A 14,784-nucleotide genomic window follows, 5' to 3' on the forward strand; every position below is an offset into this window, starting at 1 on the left:
AATCCTGTGAGGGGACACAAGTGTGAGCCCAGACACAAACCTCCTGCAGGAACGTTGGGGGAAATCACTGCAGGGGGCGCTCAGGACCCATTCATCAGAGTCAACCCCAGAGCAGGTTCACATGGAGGCTGGGGTTTGTTTCCTGTCAGGATTTGGGACTTCCTCTGCTTCTGACAGTTTCTGTAGGGAAACTCTTTAATTTTAGATTTCTGTGCCCACCAATGTCATCTCTACATATTTTTTTTAATCATTGTCATATGAGGACTCATTCTCACATGCACAGTATGTACGTTGCCACCTACAGGAATGAGAACTCCTCAACCATGCGCACCAGCATCAGAGTCATGAGGAAGCTCAGGGGTGCCCGGTGAGTCTTCTCCAGTCAGACTCAGGATAGGAACTTCAATGGGATTCCCTGACTAGAATGGCTTTTAGGGATTTTGATTACAGCCAAGAGAGAGGCTGGACCAGGTTCAGTGTCATGTAGGACCTCACAGGTTTTATGTATGACATTTCTCCTGAAAATATTCAAATGAGTATCAGCACTGATCTGGTGCTTTCTGACTTTCATTTTTAGTGGTTCTCGCTTTTCCATTTGCTTTTCCTGCTTTCTGGAAAAAAGGATGTTGTCCCTGTGGTCTAAATCCTGGGGCTCAAGCCCTTTCCCTGGAGCTTAGGTGGGGCTCAGGCTGTGACTCCTGCAGCCATTGGGAGAGGCTGCTGAGACTTTCTTCTCTCTCATTATTAAGCACACTCCACTCTGTTTTCTGGAGACGCATCTGGGAATGCATGTGGCCATTAGGAATGAGGGCATAAGCTTCTTTGGTCAAAGTGGGGTGAGGATGTGGAATTGATCCTGTGCTGTGTAAACTGTCACAGAGTCACCTTCTTCACCGGTAGTGTTAGAAGAGCCTGTAAAAGTTGTTGGAATCCAACTGGAGTCCCTTGTGTTCAAACCCTGACAAATGGAGCTGAGGAAGGCCATTTATGGAAGCTTCTCATGCACATACCCCTGAGAACAAGACCTAGCTTTATAACACTCCAAAAAACCACAAATTGAACAAAGGCAACCACAACAATAAAAGAATTACTTATATCCCTAAGAACAACAGCTAGCTTTATAACACTCAGAATAGCCACAACTGTGCACAAAGGCAACCACAACAACAAAATAATTACTTATATCCCTAACAACAAGAGCTAGTTTTATAACACTCAGAAAAGCCACAACCTTGCACAAAGGCAACCACAACAATAAAAGAATTACTTCTGTGAAAATATCTGCACAGCAACTGCCTGTCCAACCTTACACTGATGTCAACCTTGTTATTGATGCTTCTAGCCTGGGATCGTTCTCATCAAAATGTCATTCAGATGCTGCGTATGACAAAAATTGTGTTTTTCAGTGCAGTCATGTTCTAGTAAAGCCCTCAGAGACCCTCTCCTTCACCTGTGCTGCCTCTGGATTTCTGATCATAACCAGTACTTCCTCCTGGAGCTGGATCTGCCAGCCCCTAGGGAAGGAGCTGAAGTGGGTCAGGTGTGTAGGTCATGAGGAAGCACACAGTACCACCCGCTTCTCAAGAGTCCAGTCACCACCTCCAGATACACATTCAGAAAGCAGTTTTTCCTACAGCTGGGCTACATGTGCAATGAGTACACCACCATGGATTTTTATACAAAAGACACAGAGGGGGAAGTCATTGTGAGGCCAGACACAAACCTCCCTGCAGGGAAGCTCAGGACACCAGGGGGTGCTCAGGTCACCAAGGGGCGCTCAGGACACATTAAGGCAGGTGCAAGAGGGGAAAAAAGGTGCTGGAGATGGGGTTTTTCATCACTGACATATTTTACTCTCCACCATATGTATTCTAATGTATATTATTGTATTATTAGACAATGATATTTATATAAATATATAGCCACACGTAGGTGCACCAAGTTGTCCTCTCCATCTAATGTGGACCTTGTCCTTCAGGACTAAGTCCTTGTATATATTTGAGCACCTCATAAATTATGGTCAATTATGTAGGATCTCTCACTTGTTCTGTGTCCCTTCCTCCCTCCTCTCTCACACACAAACTGACACACACAAAGAGTTCTACAACTTTAATTACCTGATGTGTTGAAGAAAATGTATTGAAGTGCAGCTTTTTCAGTTTAACTGCTGTTCACGTTGATGTAGGAATAAGAACATTGTCTTTCTCAACTGTGTAGTTCTCTAAGCTGAGTAGCACCTTTCTTTATAATACCCAGATACTGAAAGCAATCCAAATATTGATCAGCAGGTTAAGCAGTAAACACTTTGTTCTAAATTCATTCACTTGAATAATACCCACTGTTCAAACAAGTACTGCTGGAAATGAGCAACAAGGGTAAATTCACAAGTACTTATGACGAGTAACATAAACCAAAGAAATACAAGTACATACATACAGTTCCACTTTTATAAATTCTATAAAATGAAAACTAATCTAAAGTTACATAATGAAAACCAGTAGTTGGCCGTGGTCATGGTATGAGAAGGGAAGGTGTAGGAAGCGGAAATTACAGGACAACAAGAGGAAATTTTGAGGATTATTTTTTCTGTATTGAGAAAAGTTACGGTTATGTCATTATTTGTTAAATTGTACACATTAAGGGAAGATTGTTACTTTCTAATTTCAACTTATTAAAATACTAAAAATTTAAACATATATAATTTGGTAGAAAAGAATTTAGAGATGGATAAAATATATGAGAAATAAAAAAGAAAATCTCAGAACGATGGCATAAGGACTTCAATCATCAAACTAAAGAAATTTTAAATTTCTCAACACAGAATTAAAGATTCATAAAACAAGCTCCTGGATCGTTGATTTTTTGAAGTTGATTTTCATGTCTTTATCTCCTTCAGTTCTGCTCTGATCTTAGTTATTTCTTCTCTTCTGCTAGCTTTTGAATTTGCTCTTGCTTCTCTAGTTCTTTTAATTTTGATGTTAGGGTGTCAGTTTTAGATCTTTCCTGCTTTCTCTTGTAGGCATCTAGTGCTATAAATTTCCCTCTACACACTGCTTTAAATGTGTCCCGGAGATTCTCATATGTTGTGTCTTTGTTCTCTTTGGTTTCAAAGATCATCTTTATTTCTGCCTTCATTTCTTTATTTACCCAGTAGACACTCAGGAACAGGTTTTTCAGTTTCCATGTAGTTGTGCAGTTTTGAGTGAATTTCTTCATCCTGAGTTCTAATTTGATTATTGCACTGTGGTCTGAGAGACTGTTTGTTATGATTTCTGTTCTTTTGCATTTGGCGAGGAGTGTATTACTTCCAATTATATGGTCAGTTTTAGAATATGTGCGATGAGGTGCTGAGAAGAATGTATATTCTGTTGACTTGGGGTGGAGAGTTCTGTAGATATCTATTAGGTCTGCTTGGTCCAGAGCTGACTTCAAGTCCTAAATATCCTTGTTAATTTTCTGTCTCATTGATCTGTCTAATATTGACAGCGGGGAGTTAAAGTCTCCCACTCTTGTTGTGTGGGAGTCTAAGTCTCTTTGTAGGTCTCTAAGGACTTCCTTTATGAATCTGGGTGCTCCTGTATTTGGTGCATATATATTTAGGATATTTAGCTCTTCTTGTTGCATTGATCCCTTTACCATTATGCAGTGCCTTTCTTTGTCTCTTTTGATCCTTTTTGGTTTAAAATGTTTTATCAGAGATTAGGATTGCAACTCCTGCTTTTGTTTTTTTTCTTTTTTTCTTTTTTTTGCTTTCCATTTGCTTGGTAAATATTCCTCCATCCCTTTATTTTGAGCCTATGTGTGTCTTTGCACATGAGATGGGTCTCCTGAATACAGCACATCAACAAAATAGATAGAAAGTTAGCCATATTAATAAAGAAGAAAAGAGAGAAGAATCAAATAGGTGCAATAAAATGTAATATAGGGGATATCACTACTGATCCCACCGAAATACAAACTACCATCAGAGAATACTATAAAAACCTCTATGCAAATACACTAGAAAATCTAGAAGAAGTGGATAAATGCCTGGACACATACACCGTCCCAAGTCTAAAGCAGGAAGAAGTCGAATCCCTGAATAGAACAATAACAAATTCTGAAATTGAGGCAGTAATTAATAGCATACCAACCAAAAAAAGTCCAGGACCAGATGGATTCACAGCCAAATTCTACCAGAGGTACAAAGAGGAACTGTTACCATTCCTTCTGAAACTATTTCAAACAATAGAAAAAGAGGGACTCCTCTCTAACTCTTTTTATGAAGCCAGCATCATCCTGATACCAAAACCTGGCAGAGACATAACAAAAAAAAAAAAAGTTCAGGCCAATATCCCTGATGAACATCAATGCACCAATTCTCAATAAAATACTGGCAAACCGAATCCAGCAGCACATCAAAAAGCTTATCCACCACGATCAAGTCGGCTTCATCCCTGGGATGCAAGGCTGTTTCAACATATGCAAATCAATAAGTGTAATCCATCACATAAACAGAACCAATGACAGAAACCACATGATTATCTCAATAGATGCAGAAAAGGACTTCAACAAAATTCAACACCCCTTCATGCTAAAAACTCAATACTCTAGGTATCCATGGAATGTATCTCAAAATAATAAAAGCTATTTATGGCAAACCCACAGCCAATATCATATGGAATGGGCAAAAACTGGAAGCATTTACTTTGAAAACCAGCAGAAGACAACGATGCCTCTCTCACCACTCCAATTCAACATAGTATTGAGAGATCTGGCCAGGGTAATCAGGCAAGAGAAAGAAATAAATTGTATAAAAATAGGAAAAGAGGAAGTCAGATTGTCTCTGTGTGCAGATGACACGATTGTATATTTAGAAAGCCCCATCGTCTCAGCCCAAAATCTCCTTAAGCTGATAAGCAACTTCAGCAAAGTCTCAGGATACAAAATCAATGTGCAAAAATCACAAGCATTTCTATAACCCAATAACAGAAAAACAGAGAGCCAAATCATGAGTGAACTCCCACTCAAAATTGCTACAAAGAAAATAAAATACCTAGGAATACAACTTACAAGGGATGTGAAGGATCTCTTCAGGGAGAACTACAAACCACTGCTCAAGGAAATAAGAGAGGACCGAAACAAATGGAAAAACATTCCATGCTCATGAATAAGAAGAATAAATATCATGAAAATGGCCATACTGCCCAAAGCAATTTATAGATTGAATGCTGTCCCCATCAAACTACCAATGACTTTCTTCACAGAATTGGAAAAAACTATTTTAAAGTTCATATGGAACCCAAAAAAATCCTGCATAGCCATGACAATCCTAAGCAAAAAAAAAAAAAAACAAAGCTGGAGGCATCATGCTACCTGACTTCAAACTATACTACAAGGCTACAGTAACTGAAACAGCATGGTACTGGTACCAAAACAGATATATACACCAATGGAACAGAGCAGAGGCCTCCCAAATAACAGCACACATCTACAACCATCTGATCTTTGACAATCTTGACACAAACAATGGGGAAAGAATTCCAGAACTATTTAATAAGTGGTGTTGGGAAAACTGGCAAGCCATATACAGAAAACTGAAACTGGACCCCCTTCCTTACAGCTTATACAAAAATTAACTCAAGATGGATGAAAGACTTATCAAGACCTGAAACCATAAAAATCCCGGAAGAAAATCTAGGCAATACCATTCAGGACATAGGCATGGGCAAAGACTTCAAGTCTAAAACACCAAAAGCAATGGCAACAAAAGCTAATACTGATAAATGAGATATAATTAAAGTAAAGTGCTTCTGCACAGCAAAAGAAACTATCATCAGAATGAACAGGCAACCTACAGAATGGGAGAAAATTTTTGCAATCTATCCATCTGACAAAGGGCTAATATCCAGAATCTACAACAAATTTACAAGAAAAACAAAAACCATCAAAAAGTAGGTGAAGGATACGAACAGACATTTCTCGAAAGAAGACATTTATGCAGCCAAAAAAACATGAAAAAATCCTCCTCATCACTGGTCATTAGAGAAATGCAAATCAAAACCACAGTGAGATACCATCTCACACCAGTTAGAATGGTGACAATTAAATAGGAAACAACAGATGCTGGAGAAGATGTGGAGAGATAGCAACATTTTTACACTGTTGGTGGGAGTGTAAATAAGTTCATCCATTGTGGAAGACAGTGTGGCGATTCCTCAAGGATCTAGAACTAGAAATACCATTTGACCCAGCAATCCCATTACTTGGTATGTACCCCAAGGATTATAAGTCATTCTACTACAAAGACACATGCACCCGTGTGTTTATTGCGGCACTATTCCCAATAGCAAAGACTTGAAACCAACCCAAATGTCCATCAATAATAGACTGGATAAAGAAAATGTGGCACATATACACCATGGAATACTATGCAGCCATAAAAAAGGATGAGTTCATGTCCTTTGCAGGGACATGGATGAAGCTGACAACCATCATTCTCAGCAAACTAACAGAAGAACAGAAAACCAGACACCGCTGTTTTCACTCGTAAGTGGTAGTTGAACCATGAGACCACATGGACACAGGGAGGGGAATATCACACACTGAGGCCTGTTAGGAGGTAAAGGGCTAGGGGAGGGATAGCATTAGGAGAAATACCTCAAGTAGATGGCAGGTTGATGGGTGCAGCAAACAACCATGGCGTGTGTATGTATACCTATGTAACAAAACTGCACATTCTGCACATGTACCCCAGAACGTAAAGTATAATTTAAAGAAAGGATTACATATTCCATTAAATATCTATGAGAAATCAGTGACTCCTGAATATACATATGAATACACGCTGGGTCTACCTGTATTTTTAGGGAAACACTAGAATACAGCAAAATAATGTCATGATTTTATTAAAAATGGGAGTTTATCAAACCACACCAGGCATGTCCAGCTCTATCCTGGAGTTGGTTCAGGGAACAGGTGGGTCCTGTGTTTAGCAGCCATGACAACAAGCTCACAGCGTCAGTTCTAGTTGACACCTCAAAAAGGCGAAGGGATCTCAACTAAAATGTCATGTGGATGTCACATCTGTGGGTGCTGCGTACTCCCTCGATGTGAATATGGAAAAGTTAATTACCTCTTGAGGGGTCTGTTGAGATTAGTGCTGGTCTCTAAGGAACACCCAAAATGGCTCGATAGAGCCAGAAAGCAGACTGGCTCAGGGCTTTTGTGATGGTTTCGTGGTGGGTCAGAGTGAGGCTTTCCACTCACAGGAAGGGGATTGCACAGTGTGAAACACCCACTGGTGTCAAATGAGGAAGCTCCTGCGATTCCTAACTAGATTCACATTGTGTGATAAAAGACACACAATAGACATAACTTCATGGTCGGATATCACAAAATGCTGTTAAAAGATGTGGTAAAAAGGCAACTTTAAATTTTTAGTCATTGGAGTGTGTATAACACAAAAATCATTTTCAATATTTTGTAACACATGCATGCAATAGGACAAAGGTATGTGATGAGGGTAAAATCTCGAAAGTGTGAATCTTCCAGCTACCAAGTCATAGGGTAATAACTGATGTGTGCTGAGGGAGGAAACCATCATGCCATAGTGCTAATGGTATAACCCTTGGTGAATAGAGTTCAATATTTTATTGAAGTTTTCACAATTTTTATTTGAAGGTGCCATTTTTCAATATATTCAGATGATTGTGAGTGCCATTGATTCTGTATCATATGAACAATGGCAATACCTTCCATGTTTACATAATATTAAAAACCATGTTAAGACTGAATATTTGGTGTAATGGTGCATCACATTATTCTAGCTTCCATACTAGTTGTTTTATTTGTTTGTTTTCTCCTTTGTTGGCATTTGGTTTCAAATTCATATGTCAGGTCTCTATAATGTAGGAATTTATTTAAAAGTGTCTTTTTTTGTCCATTTTGATGGGGCTTCTAGGAGACATAAGAACCTCCTCTGCTTGCAACACATTTCAAAATTACACACTAATGTAGAACATCTGTATTTAATCCTGGTTTTTAGTTAATTGACAAGCTCTAATAAGAGAATTAACTTCTCCATTCTGGGCTGATTTTACATCAGGTATAGGAATATACCCTAGGTGAAAGTTTGTACCAGTAATATGAATTATTAGGTAATAACCTCCACCTTTATGATTTAGGTGTTATTCATCAAGAAATAGTGTTAAATCAGGAGTCTCAATGAAAGTATTACTTAAGGGATATATAAAATATGTTGCTAATCTACATAAAACAGATGTGAACACACTCTTAGTATCCAGCCATGTTTCCTGTCAACCACACAGTAACTTTGACTTCACTTGGGACTTGTTCTAATTTTCAAATTAGTTACTTATTAATCTTAATGCTTCTAGATATTATGTGTGACTATTTTAGCAGAGAGTGAAGAAAGACAACCTAGGCTGACTACACAATGAGGAAAATCACAACCTGATGAAACAGGAAGCCTCTGGAAGTGAGTGGCTCCAGGATTGAATAATTTGACAGCTCATGTGCCCAAGAAGTTTCTTTTCTCAATTTTCCACACTGATGCATCCAGAAAGTCAGCTTCACCCCTCAGGTGACTCCCATCATGCAGTTACATGGTGACAATATTCCCATGGTCACATACATATTTTATATATTGGCTGGAAAAGGGGCAGAGACAGTTCTGCAATTCTCCTCTGAAGGACCAGGAACACCTGAACAGACCACCTCCCCTGCCCCCATGACTAGAACTGCACCACGTGCCCACATGGACACTCATCCCTGATGGGGATAATAAGACTCCATTGATGAGGCCAACTATTTTAGCATATAAATTAGTAAAGACTGATATAAAGGTTTCAACAATTAATTGAAGTCTGTTCTTCTATGTCCACCAGAGACTACAGATGCTCCAGTGATATCTTGTTTTTCTTTGCTGCGTGACTGGGTCTCTTCTCCTTGTTCCATCCTTCAGAGAATCTCTTTCAGCTCCCACAGGTGCATTCCTCCGTTATATGTAACTGACAATTGATAAATTAGTGGAAGCCCTTACACTGAAGGAAGAGTCTCTGACCTCATCTCGGTCCATATTCCTAGAAAGGCATTGTGCCCGTAAGTCTGGGTGTGACCTTCTGAGTGTTCCTGACCCTCCTCCAGATGAGATGCTCATCTGTGTGTTCTTGTCCCTTCCACTGGGGTACAGCCCCCCTGTTTCCCCCAGGTGTTCCCTCCCACAGCTCCAGTGTTCCCCGTCAGTGTCATCACCTCCCAGATCTGCTGCCCTGCCCTGCAGACTAAAGCTCTGATTCCATAAGAAAGAGAGTTATGTCTCAACAGAACTTCGTGGCAGTGACCTCTGTTCCCATCTCAATTCCTGAGGAGTTTCACCAGTGCCCGTAGGTTACTGGTTTTGGTGGTACCCCTGCAAAGTAATTTTTAGTTCTGTAGTGGATATAAGGGAGTCGAGTCTGAATGCCTTTCAAAAATGGGGGCTCTTGTTCTCTCCCAGACAGACACTTTGGGAAAGGAAGATTTTGTGACTGCCCCTTTTTTGGGGAAAGGGATTCAAGAGGATAGAAAAGCTCTTCAGTATGTGGTCCCTTAGAATTTCAAACTACAACAAGCTAACCATATTCAATTTCAAGCAATCCCATATATATTTGTATTTTTATCTTTAACAGCCTATATTTCATACGCCAGACTCTGCCTTAGGTAATCTCATATGCTGGCTTTGTTACTCTCTACAAGAACTTGCTTCTTGTTAAATTTAAGATTTTTTTTAACTTCAGTTATCCTAAGCATTCAGAAATTTGCAAAATTTCATCTTGACTGTTTATCTGTTATTGTTGATGTAGTTGTAAGAAAAAAAGAAAATATATTCCTCATTTATGTACATTTTCAAGTTGAGTAGTAGATTTTTAGTACTACCAGAGTAATAAAATAATTTGAACATTGTTAAGCTGCTTAACAGAAAATCAAATTATGGTAAATTAGTTCAATGGAATACTACACAACATTTATAATAAATAATTGTCTGATACATGCAACAAGAAGGTAAAATATCTAAGTATTTTTGCTGAGTAAAATAAACCAGACAAATGAGAAGATTTACCATATAATTTCATTTATATAAATTCTGGAAAATAAAAACTGAACTTAAGCAATATAACAACAAGGTAAAATATCTAAGTATTGATGTTCAGGAAAATAAAGCAAACAGGAATATGTACTATGTTATTCCATTTTAATAAATTCTGATAAATTAAATTGAATCTACAGCAATATAAAGAAGATCAGAATTTACCATTTGGGGAAATAGTAGAAGAAGGGAAGAGGAAAGGAGGAGGAATATGGAAGAATGAGAGGGAAATTTTGAGAATTTTCTGGTTCACCTTGATAACTAGGATGGTTACATCAGGTTTATCAATTGTACACTTTAAATATGTGAAGTTTATTATCAGTAAACTGAAATTTATAAAATTTATTACCAGCAAACAAATGAAAACTTGCACAAGAAGTAAGTGATATAAAGATAGAAAAAATACTAAATTTCAGAAACACCTAATAATTTATCTTCGTGAACCCTAGTTCTCACCATATTTTTAGGTGAATGCTAGAATGCAGCAAAATTACACATGTTCTCAATACAGAAAGTGGGTTTCACAAACCACACTAGGCATGCCCAGCTCTGTCCTGGAGTTGGGTTAGGGAGTAATATAGGGCCAGTGGATGAGGAGCACAGGCCCAGATACTGGGGCTCACTAACCTCAGGTATGAGCTCTTAGATACATACAAAGCCCCTCCACGTATGGGTTTACTTCGCCATCTGTAAATGGAGAAACCATTGACCCCTAAAAATATGATTTACACAAATATGTAAAAATGTAAGAGAGTGATTAGTGCAAAGTGTTTATCACAGCACAATTTCCTAATAAGACAGCAAGTTTTCCAAACACCATCATTGTCATCAGATTCTTGCAGGGCATCATTACCTTATCTGGGCACTGCCCTCTGCTCAGGCGTCCCACCCCAGAGCTTGCTATATAGTAGGTGACATGCAAATAGGGCCCTCCCTCTCCTGATGAAAACCAGCCCAGTCCTGACCCTGCAGCTCTGGGAGAGGAGCCCCAGCCTTGGGATTCCCAAGTATTTTCATTCAGTGATCAGGACTGAACACACCGGAATCACCATGGAGTTTGTGCTGAGTTGGGTTTTCCTTGCTGCTATTTTAAAAGGTGATTTATGGAGAGCTAGAGAGATTGAGTGTGAGTGGACATGAGTGAGAGAAACAGTGGATATGTGTGGCAGTTTCTGACCTTAGTGTCTCTGTGTTTGCAGGTGTCCAGTGTGAGGTGCAGCTGGTGGAGTCTGCGGGAGGCCTTGGTACAGCCTGGGGGGTCCCTTAGACTCTCCTGTGCAGCCTCTGGATTCACTTGCAGTAACGCCTGGATGAGCTGGGTCCGCCAGGCTCCAGGGAAGGGGCTGGAGTGGGTTGGCTGTATTAAAAGCAAAGCTAATGGTGGGACAACAGACTACGCTGCACCTGTGAAAGGCAGATTCACCATCTCAAGAGATGATTCAAAAAACACGCTGTATCTGCAAATGATCAGCCTGAAAACCGAGGACACGGCCGTGTATTACTGTACCACAGGCACAGTGAGGGGAGGTCAGTGTGAGCCCAGACACAAACCTCCCTGCAGGGGCGCGCGGGGCAACCAGGGGGCGCTCGGGACCCACTGAGGACGGGACAGGTCCCAGGAGCTGGTGCCGGGAGAGGTTTCCTTTCTCCTCAGCTGGAAAAGTCACGTTTATCTTCGCAGGACTCTGGAGTCTTCTAGGCTGTGATATTTTGTTACTTATATTTATTATGAATTTTATCATTAATGTTTAAATTTTAGTAATTATTAACATTCTACATATTATTATATTTTTAAGTATATACTTTCAAGAAATAAACATTCCTAATTGTTTGCACTGATTCTTCCAGAGTTTTATTAACATTTGTTGACATCAGCAACTACATAGCTATAGGGACAAAAATTTATACCCATAGAAAGATGTATAAATACACAGACCAATGCATATATATGTAGGCATTTGTATTAAACATTACAATGAAATGATAAAAAAAGTTTGAAAAAAATCAAACTTAATTAACTACATTATTAACTTTTAATTATTAAATTATTACAGTAATTCATAATTGATTTCCCAGATTTTCAATTGTTTACATAAATTGGTTTCTATGGTTCATTTAAAATAGTACATTGGTCATTTTAAAGAGCTAAGAGTAAATGTTAAATGTTGTCACAATAAAAGATAAAAATTTGAAACAATGAATGATAATTATATCAGTTATTTCTTAATTATCTTAGTTATTTCATATTGTATTCACAAATCATAACATTGCCCTTTACCATGTACATATAAACAACCATAATTTGTAAATTTGCAATAAAATTTTTATTGTAACTTTTTATATTTATCCCAGATTATAATCTTTTTCTTCACTTCCAGATCTCACTGGATTGTCTCAAGGGCCCCATCCACACCACTGACCCCTGATGAAAGGCTCTAGGCTGTGGCCAGGAGAGGCAGTCTCTTCTTCCAGAGCACACCCTGTTTGAGGGGGAGATGTCATCTCTGCCCTTGAGGAGCCCCAGCTGATGGGGGAGCTTTTGCCCTTAGGAAGCTCTCAGTCTGATGGGGAAGACGCTGTCCCTGCCCTCAGGAGGCTCTTGGTCTGAGAGGGGAGACATAATTCATTCTCTCTGAGTGCCCTCAGTCTGATGGGGGAGACACCGTCCCTGCCCTCAGGAGGCTCCCAGTCTGATGGGGGAATATTGGCTCTGTCCTCAGGAGTCCGGTCTAAGGAGGGTGTCTCAGCCCCACTCCTGAGGGTAAGGATTCCATGGCCACAGTCTGGACAGTGGGCCAGTCACGCTTGACAGTGGGCATGTTGCCAGCAGGACCCTTTGGGATGTGTCTGAGCCTGGAGGTGAGTGGCACGGGGGCTGGCAAGGCTAGGGTGGAGGCAAGCAGGTTCTGCTGTCTGCCGCCTTCACACCTTTCTCCTTCCACATGCATAGATGAGCCCACCAGCCCCAGCACTGACCTCCAAGCCAAGCATGTCCCTGCCTTTGCTGTGGTCTCCAGTGCCATGAACTCAGCCGCTGTCCTGGGCACCAGCCCATCTTCCCCGACCTTCACCTTCACCCTCGGACGGCATTACTCGCGGGACTGCAGTGAGCTCTCCCCACACCCCCAGCCCCACCCTTTCCCTCACTGCCCACTCCCAGGGGTCTCTGTTGGGTCTGCTGCTTGATGTCTGGCCTCTTCCTCTGGTTTCCGCTTCTCCTGGGGCACCTTGGGAGAGTCACCTCCGGCCCCTGCCTAGAAGGGAGGGCTCTGGGAAGCCCCTGACCTGCTGCCCCGCTGACCCTGAGGCCCGATGCGGGCGGCTTTGCAGGCAGCATCAAGGCTGGCCGCCGCTCCTCCTACCTGCTGGCCATCACCACGGAGCGCTCCAAGTCCTGCGATGATGGACTCAACACCTTCCGCGATGAGGGCCAGGTTCTGCGGTGAGGCCCTGTCTGGACATGGGGTGGGGTGGCCACAGCCACCCTGGCCAGCTGCTCTGGGGCAGGGCTTTTGGCCCTGGGGGTCCTCTATGCATGGGACAGTGTGTCTCCCCCGCTGGAAGGCTTCTGGGCTTGGGGTTTGGTGGGTGACGAGATAGTGAGGTCCCAGCTTTGCTGCCCACATCCCTCACCCTCCACCCTTGCTTCCCAGGCACCTGCCAAACCGCATACCCAGCCTGCCGTTGCTCCGGAGCTTCTTCACAGACGGGGTGAGTTGCAGGTCTGTGTGTGTGCGCAGGAGTGAGGGTGTGGGGAGAGAGGGTGTCAGGGAGGTGGGGCCACAGCCTCGGCATGGGGGTTCCTGCTCCAGCTCCTGCCTTCCCCCTCCTCCCTGCACCCCTCACCCTTGTGTCCACCGCGGGACCGGCCCTCTGCTGTGGGCCCCGACTTCCCTGAATGACACCATGCAGCCCCACCCAGGGGCCCCCGTCTGGACTGCCTCTTTCCAGACCCATCCCCCATAGCCACACGACTCACTTCTCCACTGTCTTTGCAGCTTTTTAGGTCTTCCCTGAAATTCCAGTCTCCACTCCTGACATTTCATGCCTCCCTTCGCTACTCTGTTTTCCTCCTCAGCACGCCTCATGCACAATTGGTGTTTCCCTTCCTCCCTGCCTGGCTCCCCAGCTAGAATAGAAGCTCCCCGAGCTTATATTTGGTGCTTCATTTGTTTCCTTCACTACCCTGAGTCAGTATTTGCATCGCGTCTTGTCTTCATGGGATGGGGTCGGGGTGGACACTGGAAAGGTGTGGCCTGGACACAGGGTTGAGATTGGTGGACAGGTGGAGTTCCCAGCCTCAGGACCTGGGGAGGCAGGATCAGGCCTGTGATAGCCCTGGCTGTTTGTTTGTTTTGAGACAGAGTCTCACTCTATTGCCCAGTCTGGAGTGCAGTGGCATGATCTTGGCTCACTGCAACATCCACCTCCTGGGTTCAAGCTATTGTCCTGCCTCAGCCTCCCGAGCAGCTGGGATTACAGGCGTGTGCCACCACACCTGGGTAATTTTTGTATTTTTAATAGAGACTGGGTTTCACCATGTTGGCCAGACTGGTCTTGAACTCCTGACCTCAGGTGATCCACCCACCTCGGCCTCCCAAAGTGCTGGGATTACAGGCCTGAGCCACCGCACCTGGCCTCAAGTGATCTTCTTG

General features: G+C 42.1%; 1 pseudogene; it reads left to right on the forward strand.

The window, feature by feature from the left end:
- IGHV3OR16-6 (immunoglobulin heavy variable 3/OR16-6 (pseudogene)) lies at positions 11,022-11,702 on the forward strand (annotated as a pseudogene).

Source organism: Homo sapiens, chromosome 16 (genome assembly GCF_000001405.40).
Source record: "Homo sapiens chromosome 16, GRCh38.p14 Primary Assembly".
NCBI classification, from domain to species: domain Eukaryota; kingdom Metazoa; phylum Chordata; class Mammalia; order Primates; family Hominidae; genus Homo; species Homo sapiens.